General features: G+C 36.5%; 1 protein-coding gene across 50 annotated transcripts in view; it reads right to left on the bottom strand.

The window, feature by feature from the left end:
• Positions 1–13,380, bottom strand: part of BIRC6 (baculoviral IAP repeat containing 6) — a 261,856-nt gene that overhangs the window by 73,016 nt on the left and 175,460 nt on the right. For all 50 annotated transcript variants that reach the window (XM_006712055.4, XM_005264451.5, XM_047445167.1 and 47 more), the window contains 2 exons: positions 2,322–2,622; positions 3–220 (listed from right to left, as the gene is read on the bottom strand). In XM_006712055.4, the coding sequence (XP_006712118.1) occupies positions 3–220; positions 2,322–2,622 (519 nt within the window). The remainder of the gene's footprint in view (positions 1–2; positions 221–2,321; positions 2,623–13,380) is intronic.

Here is a 13,380-nt window from a genome sequence, read left to right as displayed (position 1 = left end):
ACCTCAGTTTGATTCACGCTAGAGTTTGGAACTCGTGGGGAATGGTGGCTCAAAGCAGAGAGACAGACAAGAATGAGGTGTAAGGCTCCAATTTCCAATGCCATCCGCCTTAGAAGTACACCATCATCAGTTGTCAAAGGTGTAGTGCTAAACAAGCTACGAAGGACGTGGAAAGGAAGGGTTGGAAGCACATTGGCTGATGGAGATTGAAGAATATGACCTAGATTGAAGAAAGAAGAGGACTCAAGATTAAAAACAGTTAAAAACACATAAGAAGTTACATACAGGGTCATAAATTAATAATGACACTGTAATACAAAAGTATACCACTAAATTATTTAGAAAACCAAATACCACAAATACAACAGTAATATCTTAAAATTTAATAACGAATAAGTATCAGGAAAAACTCTGTCAGACACGGTATACATAAACCTCAAAAAAATGGAAACATATGTATGATCATAGCTATAGATTATGTCAAAATTATTACGAACTAGAATTTAAACTAAAACCTGAACAATAGAAAAGAAGCATTAGTAGTATCTTACAACAGTAAGAAAGTAACTGCTTTTCTTGGGAGTAGCTTTAACCAAGAACAGATAATGAACAAGTAAAACTATTTTTTTCCCAACAGTGTTCTACTGTGTTCTAGCCAGGAAGGGGTATTAAATGCAAAGAAAGCAATGCTACATGGATGGTACACGAGACAATTATTAGAGAGAGAGATATCATAACTATCCTTTTTAATAAAAATTCATTGTATATGCACTAAAAATAGTGTGAAATTACAGAAAGCCATTTTTTTTTCCTTTTCTGTTTAGGGTTACACCTACTTTAACACTCTGTGGTAACAGTGTTGAAATACCATGGTTCTTATTACACATTCTATGTCTTTATCAAAATATCGTATGTATAACATAAATATGTACAACTACTATGTATCAATAAAAAATATGGTTCTTACCCCTCTATCTACTTAAAAAAAAATCAGATCAAGTAATTAGAAATTCCTGACCTACTAAAATAAATACAGTTGACACCTGAATAACACAGGTTTAAACTACATGGGCCCACTTATATGCCAACATTTATGAGGGATTTTTGTTGTTAGGAAAATATAAAGGAAAAAATATTTACTTTGAATATTTGATAGCTTCAGAGTTTTGAGATCTACACATAAATTCATATAGTTTTATTAGATTAAATATACTTTGTAGTACAGAACTTAACATTTTATTCTTTCTAAATGGCATGTGAAAGAAATCGACCCTAATCAAAACCATGTGATTTTAAAATAACATAAGGAATATTAATTTTCTAATAAATATTAATAGAATAAATAGTAAGTGAAAATGCAAAAAAAAAAAAGAAGAAGAAAGAAAAAAGAAAATGCAGACGTCACCCAAATGAAAATCTACTTGTGAGGCTATCCTGTAATTCTTCAGTTTTTCTATTAAATAACAATGCCAACCCAATGGAAACAATCATCACAGCTTTCTCTTATTATTCTATGTTATCATTAATACATATTATGGCATCATTTTCCTAATTCTGTTCTCTTTAATCTAAGTATTGCTACCAGATTCATTTTCTGAAAAAAACTATATTCAACACATCACTAATCTTAACACATTTTAATAAACCTTTATTGCTATTCAAAATAAAATCTAAAGTTTTTAGTACGTTTTTTCCATGATCTGTTACCAATATTAGCTTTTAAAATGCTCACAATGCTCCCTTTTGTGCAAATTTTCATCTGCTAACTTATCCCCTCTCATACATTTTAACCTCAAAACACTGCTCTTTCCATTTATTTTCTGAGATAACTCATCCCAACCTAAATCTAATCTGTCCTTCAAGGCCCCACTAAAAACTACCATGCCACTTCATTCACATTGCTGAGTAGTAAAGAAATAATCTCACATGTGTGTTTCTCCATAATACTGCACTCAAGAGTACTGAAGGGATTTTATAACTTGCTAAGTATACATGTTTATGTACATCCCTTGTTTCTATTACTGGAGAACATTAGCTACTTGGGGGTAGCTCTAAATAACTGCTTCATGTTTACATCCCCCCAGTGATGCCCAACAGTTTTGTCAGCACAAGGAAAATAATTTTTGAATGAACACAGAGATGAAAATGAAGATTCTTTAGGATTTATTATGTATAACTAATACTGGAAGTGAGCTACCACTTACAAATCATCTAACAGCTTAACTATGAAGGAAATAAATGATGAATAATAGGCAATGATCTGGATACCTTTACACAACCTATTCACATATGTGTTGATAAATTTAATACTAAACACTTACTTCCTTCTCCATCATCTGTCACTCCCAATACCAATCGAAGAAGGCACTGGGCATGTTTTCTCTCTTTCAGTAGCACTTCCGCATAGCCCGGAAGACGAAGAAATAATCCAAAAGCAGCCAAAGAATGGGCAGGTATGGGAGACATGGTCTGTACTGCTGACTTGATAGGTGGAGGTTCAGCCGCAACAGTTTCTGGTGCTTCATAAACTAACTCCCCTGACTGTTCAATGGTCACCCATTCAAACTGATCGCTATCCTTCGGCTTTTCCTGAGTGGTAGATGTTACAACTGGAGCACTCACCTAAAGAAAAAGAAAAGTGTTGGCTTGGCCATTCACATTTTCAACATCAGATTCAAAGTAAAGACTTAACTTTAAATGATCTCTTTAAAATATAGGATTATAAGGATTAATAAAGCTGCTTGCTTTAAAAAACAAGCTTCCAGCCGGGCGCAGTGGCTCACGCCTGTTATCCCAGCACTTTGGGAGGCTGAGGCAGGTGGATTACTTGAGGTCAGGAACTCGAGACCAGCCTGGCCAACACGGTGAAACACCGTCTCTACTAAAAATACAGAAATTAGCCAGGTGTGGTGGTGCACACCTGTAGTCCCAGCTACTCAGGAGGCTGAGGCAGGAGAAACACTTGAACCCAGGAGGTGGAAGGCACAGTGAGCCAAGATCACACCACCGCACTCCAGCCTGGGCAACAAAACTATCTCAAAAAAATAAATAAAAATAAAAACAAGCTTCCAAACATCAAGACGCACATGACAGCAGAAGTATGGCAGTGTCTGCCAAGTGTCTCTACATTAGTTATTAATTCCACCTTTATAATTAGTTAAGTATCTATATGCAGATTCTTGAGACTATTTAAACATCTTATTTCTCACCAAACTTTTGATCAGTCTTAGCATTTTTATAATTGTGCCTGAAACAATTATTACTAAAGTGGTTAAGAAAAGGAGAACTTTCTAATTCTGTCATTCTTTCTACATTTATTAGTTGGCACCAAGCTATAAGGAAAAATATTCTCTTCTTATCCATTAATTTTTATCAGTATAGATTCTAACTTTATTACACTGTTACTATCATTATTAATTTTGATGCCTGAGGGGAATAAGATTTTGTCTCTGAGACGCCATTAAAGCAGGATCCTACTTCCTTATAACTTGTCCCCCATCGTTCTTTGAGCACTTCCTTGCTTTCTAGCACAGCAAAACATTCTAGGCTCATGTTCTACCTACTCTTCCTCAGTACTAGAATTTCTCCAAGGAGCCCTGATTTCCTTTAGTAGAAAATTTTTAAAATGACAATATGGGAGATATATATGCATATATCACTAGGGGGAGTCTGCTTCTGGGTCCTATCAGCAAACATACCTAGAAAATACATGTATGTATACATGTGTAAATATATATATATATATAGACATAATTTCTAGCATGTATTCTTCAAAACTGTCAAGGCCATGAAGGCCATGAAAGATAAATAAAGATAGCAGAATTGTTACATATGCAAGACTACAAGACAACAAAATGCAATATATGATCCTGAACTACCAGTATCCTCAAACCACGCAAAAGAAAATTGATTTTTCTTTGGCCCTAAAGAACATTAGAAGGACAGGCAAAAGCTGAATAAGATTTGCAGTTTATAGTACAGAGTCAGTGTGAACTTCTGATTTGTATAACTGTATATGGTTATCCAAGAGAAGTTTTCTGAACTTAGGAATAAAGGAGCATCATGTCTATAATTTAATCTTAATAATTCAAAGAAAAACTCCAATTCTGAGCATGGTTGCCCTACAAACTTCTCATTGCATTTAGAAATACTCTACTTATCTTGCTTGACCATGAATAATGCACTTCACTAAATACTAATTTGAAGTTCCACACTCAAACATATAATTAAATGAATAGTGAGCTAATCACAGAGTTATCTCACTATTCACTTCAAACATCAGGATGATTCCTAAGCTTCCTGTATGACTTTAGTAGACTGATAGGTAACTCTGTGGGGTGATTTTTAAATGAATGGTGAGGTAACTCTGTGATTAGTTCACTATTTCTTCCTTCTTTTACATATATATGTAGAAGTCTTAAGCTGATCTACAGCTTAGATCAGTCTTAAGTTGATCTACGGCTACACTACATGCATCTGTACACTGAATAAAACAGGTGCAATTTTGATGCCAGCTTATTTTCACTACTGAAGCTTAGGCCAGAATGACAATATGAAATAGCCTAATTGTAAGAACATAGGAATTTGAGGCACTTTTCACTTCTAAACCATTTTGAAACCCTTTATAGGCAAATTTTTAAAGATCCTCTATATTTATTATTTTATGCTGCACAGAAGATAGTTTCATATAAAAGTACCTATATAATAGAACATTGTTACAGAAGCAGAACTTTACCTCATCATAATTGTTTTCTTAAAGGACTATTCTCATATGATGCCACAAAACAAAACAAATACAATGAAAGCAAAAAGACAGCAAAATCAAAGAGCTCTCAATTTATAGCATTCAAATTCTTTAACAAGTGAAAGACCCTCAACTTCACGAAAATCAGAAGAGCAAATTAAAACCACTATCATATATTTCCCATCACCCATTATACAGATACAAATTTTTAAGTCTTATATTAGATATGTATACAATTCTTCACAACTTTTTTCATTATAGCTAACAACTGGAAATAAAAATGCTAGTCAACATTAAGACTAATACACACAATAAGGTATAGTTAAATATACAGCAAGTATGCTAGAGCTATACAAATGAGACCACCACAGGCTTAGGCATCAACAAAGATTAATTTCAAAATACAGGTTCAGCAAAAGCACCAAACAGTAGAATATAAACTGATATTTACATAAATGTCACAAGTATAACGATTCAAACAGAACTGTTTTAGGGTATTAATATTAAGTGGATTTAATTTTTTAAAGTATTATATTCACTTGTATTATTTCACATTTTGAAAGTCAAAACTGAAAAGTATATGAAAACATGCTTTTTGCTCAATTAACAACAAAGAAATTTTATTTCTGATATACTAGGATAAAACAGCTCAATTTCCCAAAGAAAAGACTCTAATAAGGACGTGCTCACTTTGAATAATGTCTAAAACACAAATAAATTATTTTAAATTAGATGAACAGGATATGATTTATATCACAGGCTTTTAGGAATTACGATATTCCAACCATGTGATGTCTTTAATTCTGATACTCATTATATGTCACAGCAAACTGAGAAGACATGATACTTTCTAAAGTAGTCAAATGCTCCAATTTAAGAACAAAAAATGAGTTTCAGTTTAAATTGGAGAAACATGGGATTAATGTGATTTCAAAATCATAACCATGGTACTTAAAAATGAAAACAGACTAAAAATTCTGTATGTTTGATTACAATTCTGCATAAGTGTATACATACAAACGTATACATGCACTTCTTCTACTGATTCTGGTTGTGTTTTTCAAGGAATTTATCCATTATATCTAAGTATCAAATATGTTGGCATAAAGTTGGTTATAATAGTACCTTATTTTATTCTATAGAAATTATAATAATGTGCTTGCTATCATTTGTGGATGTCCAATTTGTGTGGTTTTCCCTTTTTCTTGAAAATTTTTCATAGTTTATCAATTTTACTAGAAGTCTCAAAAGACAAAATGTACGACTTTCTTGTTTCTCTTTGATTTTTTTGTTTTATATTTAATTGATTCTGGCTCTTACTGTAGTAATTCCTTGCTTCTGATTTTTGGTTAATTGTACTCCTGTTTTTCTAGTTTCTTGAGGTGGCAGTGTACACCACTGATAAATCTCCTCTTTTAATTATATGCATTTAAAGCTATAAAATCTCTCTATAGACTGCTGTAGCTATATCCCATGTCATGTTGGCATTATCGTTTTGAAATATCTTGTAGTATCTATTGTGATTTCTTCTTTCATCCATGTGTTACTAAAAACTATACTGCTTAGGTTACACATATTTGAGGTTTTCTAGATCTTACCGCTATTGGTTTCCAATTTAATTCTGATGTGGTCACAGAACATACTGGGTTTGATTTTAATGTTTTTAAATTTACTGAGACTTTTTGTATAGGCCAGCATACTGTCTATCTTTCTTTGGAAAGAAGTACATCCTGTAGTTGGTAAATGCTTTGTTCCATAAATATTGGTTACGTCCATCTAGAAGTTTTGGGCGTTTCCCCCAACAACTCCTACTTCCTCACTTTGTTTCATTTACTGAGAGATAAATGTTATAATCTATTACTGAAATGTAGATTTATCTAATTCTTCCTTCAGTTCTATAAATTTCTGATTCATGTACTTTGAAGCTATTAAATACACACAAATTTAGGATTGTTATGACTTATTCTGAATTAATACTTTCATAGTGATTTAATGATCCTCTTTATTTCTTATCAGGTGGTCTATAATTCAACTTTGTGATACATTAAAAAATAGGGGTAGCAGCTTTTTTCTTTCAAGCACATCTCTTTTAGGCAGCATATACTTGGGCTTTGCTTTTTCCTCTATTCTGACAAACGTTTGCTTTTCAAATGGGGTATTTAATACACTTTCATTCATTCATTCATTCATTCATTCATTTGTTCAATCATAGAGATGGAGTCTCACTCTGTCACCCAGGCTGCAGTGCAGGGGCACGATCTCAGGTTCAAGGGATTCTCCTGCCTCAGCCTCTCAAGTAGCTGGGATTTCAGAGGTGTGCTACCACTGCTGGCTAATTATCATATTTTTTAGTAGAGGCAGGGTTTCACCATGTTGGCCAGGCTGGTCTTGAACTCCTGAGCTCAGGTGATCTGCCTGCCTCGGCCTCCCAAAGTGCTGGGATTACTGGCATGAGCCACCATGCCCAGCCATACACTGTACATTGTTGATGAGATCTTCTATCAACTCTTGATTTGAAAATCTTCCTTGCAGTGTGTTTAGTTTTGTTTAGCAGATACGTAAATTATTGGGAGATCACCCTGAACTTAGAGGCTTTTGTAATTTATTAGAAGAGTCTATTTTGATTTTTCCCTTATTTCTCAAGTGAATCTTTATTAGGCTGTAGCCTTTATTCCTAATGTATGGGCCATTTGGAATTCCAATGGAAAAGCCAACATTTTTATCTCTGAGCAGGACTAAAACTGTAAATTGTATCCTCTCGGTGACAGACAGCAGCTGAAATCTCTGCACAGCTTTTTCAGCATTCTAGTTCATGCCTGCTCTCAAAATGCCTATGTTTAATAATTCTGGAGCAAGCTATGGATGTGCAGAATTTGGAGCTCCTCAGCTTCAGCTTCCTCCTTTCTGAATTCCTATTTTCCAGCCAGTAGGGAAGAATCAAACTCCAGCCAATATGACTGTGGCTTAAGTCTGAGTTCTACCTGTCCCACCCCACAAAGACTGAGGAATACCCCCAGAAAAAAGCAGTATAGACGCTAATATTACTGAATTGATTCTATTAATATTGTGTTAAAATCCTCTTTAATTTCTGCCTGCTTCTAGTTGCTCTTAAAGCCTTTAAATAATTGTTTTTTTTGTTTGCTTTTTTTTTTTTGAGACGGAGTCTCGCTGTCGCCCAGGCTGGAGTGCAGTGGTGCGATCTTGGCTCACTGCAGGCTCCGCCCTCTGGGGTTCAGGCCATTCTCCTGCCTCAGCCTCCAGAGTAGCTGGGACTACAGGCACCTGCCACCCCGCCCGGCTAATTTTTTGTATTTTTAGTAGAGACGGGATTTCACCACGTTAGCCAGGATGGTCTCGATCTCCTGACCTCGTGATCCGCCCGCCTCGGCCTCCCAAAGTGCTGGGATTGCAGGCTTGAGCCACTGCGCCCGGCCTAAATAATTGTTTTAAAATATATTTTGCCTAGAGCTTTTAACTATATAGAGACAACAGAGTTAATCCCATACTTTTTATTCTGCCATCACTGATTTTTGAGAGGCGATGGGCGAGGTGGGTGAAGAATTGTAGAAAATTTTCTCCAATGAGTATAAAATTCTAGGATGACAGATTTTTTTGCTTATTTTGTTGCTTGTTGTCTTCTAGCATTTTGAAATTGTAGTGAGTTTCTTAATCCTGAGTTCTAGTTTGATTGCACTGTGGTCTGAGAGACAGTTTGTTATTATTTCTCTTCTTTTACATTTGCTGAGGAGTGCTTTACTTCCAACTATGTGGTCAATTTTGGAATAGGTGTGGTGTGGTGTTGAAAAGAATGTATATTCTGTTGATGTCTATTAGGTCCACTTGGTGCAGAGCTGAGTTCAATTCCTGGATATCCTTGTTAACTTTCTGTCTCGTTGATCTGTCTAATGTTGACAATGGGGTGTTACAGATTGTATATCTAGAAAACCCCATCGTCTCAGCCCAAAATCTCCTTAAGCTGATAGGCAACTTCAGCAGTCTCAGGATACAAAATCAATGTGTAAAAATCACACGCATTCTTATACACCAGTAACAGACAAACAGAGAGCCAAATCATGAGTGAACTCCCATTCACAATTGCTTCAAAGAGAATAAAATACCTAGGAGTCCAACTTACAAGGGATGTGAAGGACCCCTTCAAGGAGAACTACAAATCACTGCTCGATGAAATAAAAGAGGATACAAACAAATGGAAGAACATTCCATGCTCATGGGTAGGAAGAATGAATATCATGAAAATGGCTATACTACCCAAGGTAATTTATAGATTCAATGTCATCCCCATCAAGCTCATATGGAACCAAAAAAGAGCCCGCATTGCCAAGTCAATCCTAAGTCAAAAGAACAAAGCTGGAGACATCACGCTACCTGACTTCAAACTATACTACAAGGCTACAGTAACCAAAACAGCATGGTACTGGTACCAAAACAGACATACAGACCAATGGAACAGAACAGAGCCCTCAGAAATAATGCCACATATCTACAACCATCTGATCTTTGACAAACCTGAGAAAAACAAGAAATGGGGAAAGGATTCCCTATTTAATAAATGGTGCTGGGAAACTGGCTAGCCATATGTAGAAAGCTGAAACTGGATGCCTTCTTTACACCTTATACAAAAATTAATTCAAGATGCATCAAAGACTTAAATGTTAGACCTAAAACCATAAAAACCCTAGAAGAAAACCTAGGCAATACCATTCAGGACATAGGCATGGGCAAGGACGTCATGTCTAAAACACCAAAAGCAATGGCAACAAAAGCCAAAATTGACAAATGGGATCTAATTAAGCTAAAGAGCTTCTGCACAGCAAAACAAACTACCATCAGAGTGAACAGGCAACATACAGAATAGGACAAAATTTTTGCAATCTACTCATCTGACAAAGGGCTAATATCCAGACTCTACAATGAACTCAAACAAATTTACAAGAAAAAAACAAACAACCCCATCAAAAAGTGGGCGAAGGATATGAACAAATGCTTCTCAAAAGAAGACATTTATGCAGCCAAAAGACACATGAAAAAATGCTCATCATCACTGGCCATCAGAGAAATGCAAATCAAAACCACAATGAGATACCATCTCACACCACTTAGAATGCCGAACATTAAAAAGTCAGGAAACAACAGGTGCTGGAGAGGATGTGGAGAAATAGGAACACTTTTACACCGTTGGTGGGACTGTAAACTAGTTCAACCATTGTGGAAGTCAGTGTAGCAATTCCTCAGGGATCTAGAACTAGAAATACCATTCGACCCAGCCATCCCATTACTGGGTATATACCCAAAGGATTATAAATCATGCTGCTATAAAGACACATGCACACGTATGTTTATTGCAGCACTATTCACAATAGCAAAGACTTGGAACCAAGCCAAATGTCCAACAGTGATAGACTGGATTAAGAAAATGTGGGACATATACACCATGGAATACTATGCAGCCATAAAAAATGATGAGTTCATGTCCTTTGTAGGGACATGGATGAAGCTGGAAACCATCTTTCTCAGCAAACTATCGCAAGGACGAAAAAACCAAACACTGCATGTTCTCACTCATAGGTGGGAATTGAACAATGAGAACACATGGACACAGGGAAGGGGAACATCACACACCGGGGCCTGTTGTGGGGTGGGAGGAGGGGAGACGGATAGCATTAGGAGACATACCTAATGTTAAATGATGAGTTAATGGGTGCAGCATACCAACATTGCACATGTATACATGTGTAACAAACCTGCACGTTGTGCACATGTACCCTAAAAGTATAATTTAAAAAATAAAATAAAATAAAGTTGTAATTCCCTGGCTCATATGGTTTCTGTTGAAAGGCCAGTTGTTAGTGTTATTGCTGCTGTTTTGAAAATATAGGTCATTTTCTTTATAGCTGGTTTTTATATTCTCTCATTGTCTTAGCTTTTTTTTTTTTTTTTTTTTTTTTTTGCTTTTTTGGGGGTATGAGGTCTTGTTATGTTGCCCAGGTGGTCTGGAACCCGTGGGCTCAAGTAATCCTCCCGCTTCAGTCTCCTGAGTAGCTGGGATTTCAGAGATGCACTGCAGTGGCCAGCTGTCTTTGTTTTTAACCACTTTTACCATGACAGTTCCAGGCATGCATATCCTGCATGAGTTAACAGTTTCTTACATGTTGAATTGAGATTTAAGTTTTACATCTATTTGGGAAATTTTTCTTCTTCTCAATACTGTTTCTGTCCATGTTTCAACTCACTCTTCTTCTCGGACTATAAATTCATGTAAGTTAGAATTTTTCACTTCAGTCCATACAGCTCTTATGTTCTTCTCATTCCTTACACTTTCTATGCTTCCATTTGAACCATTTTTTTTTTTTTTTTTTTTTTTTTTTTTGAGACAGAGTCTTGCTCTGTCACCCAGGCTGGAGTGCAGTGGTGCGATCTTGGTTAACTGCAGCCTCTGCCTCCTGGGTTCAAGCAATTCTCCTTCCTCAGCCTCCCGAGTAGCTGGGATTACAAGCGTCCACCACCACGCCCAGCTAATTTTTGTACTTTTAGTAGAGATGGGGTTTCACCATGTTGGCCAGGCTGATCTCAAACTCCTGACCTCAGGTGATCCGCCTGCCTCGGCCTCCCAAAGTGCTGGGATTACAGGCATTAGCTGCCGCGCCAAGCCGAATGATTTCTTTTGATACATCTTCCAGTTCACTACTGTTGCAATCTGCAGTGTCTCTTTTTTTTTTTTTTTTTGAGATGGAATTTCACTCTTGTCACCCAAGCTTGAGTGCAATGAAGCCATCTCGGCTCACTGCAACCTCCACCTCCCGGGTTCAAGCAATTCTCTTGCCTCAGCCTCCTGAACGGCTGGGATAACAGGCACCCACTACCACACCGGGCTAATTTTTGTATTTTTAGTAGAGACGGGGTTTCACCATGTTGGCCAGGCTGATCTCGAACTGCTGACCTCAGGTGACCCTCCTGCCTTGGCCTCCCAAAGTGCTGGGATTACAAGTGTGATTACAGGATTACAGGCTAGGATTACACCATGCCCAGACAGTGTCTCTTATTAAACACACCTAACAGTATCCTTAATTTGATATATTAGAAATTCTCAACCCATCCCATATAGCTAGTAGTATCCTGACACCAAAACCAGACAAAGGCATTACAACTACAGACCAAACTCTGTATTAGTTTTCTACTGCTGCTATAACACATTGCCACAAACTCAGTGGCTCAGAACAGCACAATTTATTATTTTAAAATTCCAGAGGTCAGAAATCCAAAACAGGTCTTATGGGACTAAAATCAAAGGATGCATTGCTTCTGGAGGCTCTTAGGAAATAACAGTTCCTCACCTTTTCCAGCTTCCAGAGGCTACTTACGTTCCATGGCTCTTGGATGCTTCCATCATCACATCATATCCTCTATTCCTCGCTTATGCTTAGACGGCTGAGGAGATCCATGAGTTACATGCCTAATCTCTTCAAAGAGCCCTCTATGTGACTGAATACTCTGACTTTTGATGTTTCTAAGGCACTAGCAAAAGGTTGTCCAGCCTCACTCTTGGCTTATACTTTGGAGCATGCTTTTCTGATAGCAAATATCTAAATTTTAGCACCTTCTGTGATCTGGATAGGTAATTTCACAAATTGACAAGCACTGATTGCTTGTTTTTCAACAGTTCTTCTCTCAATTTATATCTTTCCTCGCACATTTCACTATAAGCAGCAAGAAAAAGACAGGTTGTACTTTCACCACTTTGTGTGGAAATCTCAGCTAAACATCCAAGTTCATTACATGTTCATTACATGTAAGTTCATTACATCCAAGTTCATTACAGCAGAAGTGCTGCTTTCTATATTTAGGACACAAATGAGTTAATAGTTCTGCTTCTATATGACAAAGATCCCTTTTCCTTCAGGTTCCGGTAACATGTTCCTCATTTCCTTCTAAACCACCTTGTCAGCACTTTAAACACCTGTATGTCTACCAAGTCTGCTTATGACAATTCAGATATTCTCTAAGACACTGTAGGTTTTCTCCCCTATGATCCTTACTTCCTTCTGGGCCCTCACTGGCAGAAGCTTTATCATCCACATTTTATCTAACAATCTATTCAAGGTAATCTAGATTTTTTTTTTAAATCATGCTACTCAAAATTATTCCATACTCTGCCAAGTACCCAATTCTAAAGTCACTTTCACATTCTTAGGTATGTATTACCAGGACCCCATTTCCAGTTACTAATCAATATAGTGAACCACACTGAATACTAAATTAGAAAAAATCATTTATGTTGAGCAATAATAATGCTGAAAATGTTGGGGTCTTTTCTGCTTCAAACTTTTGAGTAATTATGTCATTGTCTAGTAAGAAAATTTTGCTCATTCTGTGTCAATCACCTTATAACATAGTTATATCATCTTATATTTTTGAATACTAGGGAAGCAATAACATGAATAAGTATTATTGTGTGTTGCATTTTGTCCTCCCAAGATATGTTCAAGTCCTAACCCCTAGCACCTATGAAGATGACCTTATTTGGAAATGGGGCCTTTGCAGATGTAATCAAGTTAAGATGAGGAGATAATGGTTTGCAGGACCCTACATTAAATGACTGGTGTCCTTATAAGGAGAAA

The sequence above is a fragment of the Homo sapiens genome, chromosome 2 (genome assembly GCF_000001405.40).
Source record: "Homo sapiens chromosome 2, GRCh38.p14 Primary Assembly".
Lineage (NCBI taxonomy): Eukaryota > Metazoa > Chordata > Mammalia > Primates > Hominidae > Homo > Homo sapiens.
Note: the sequence above shows the minus strand (reverse complement) of the source record. Positions and strands in the feature narration are given on the sequence as shown.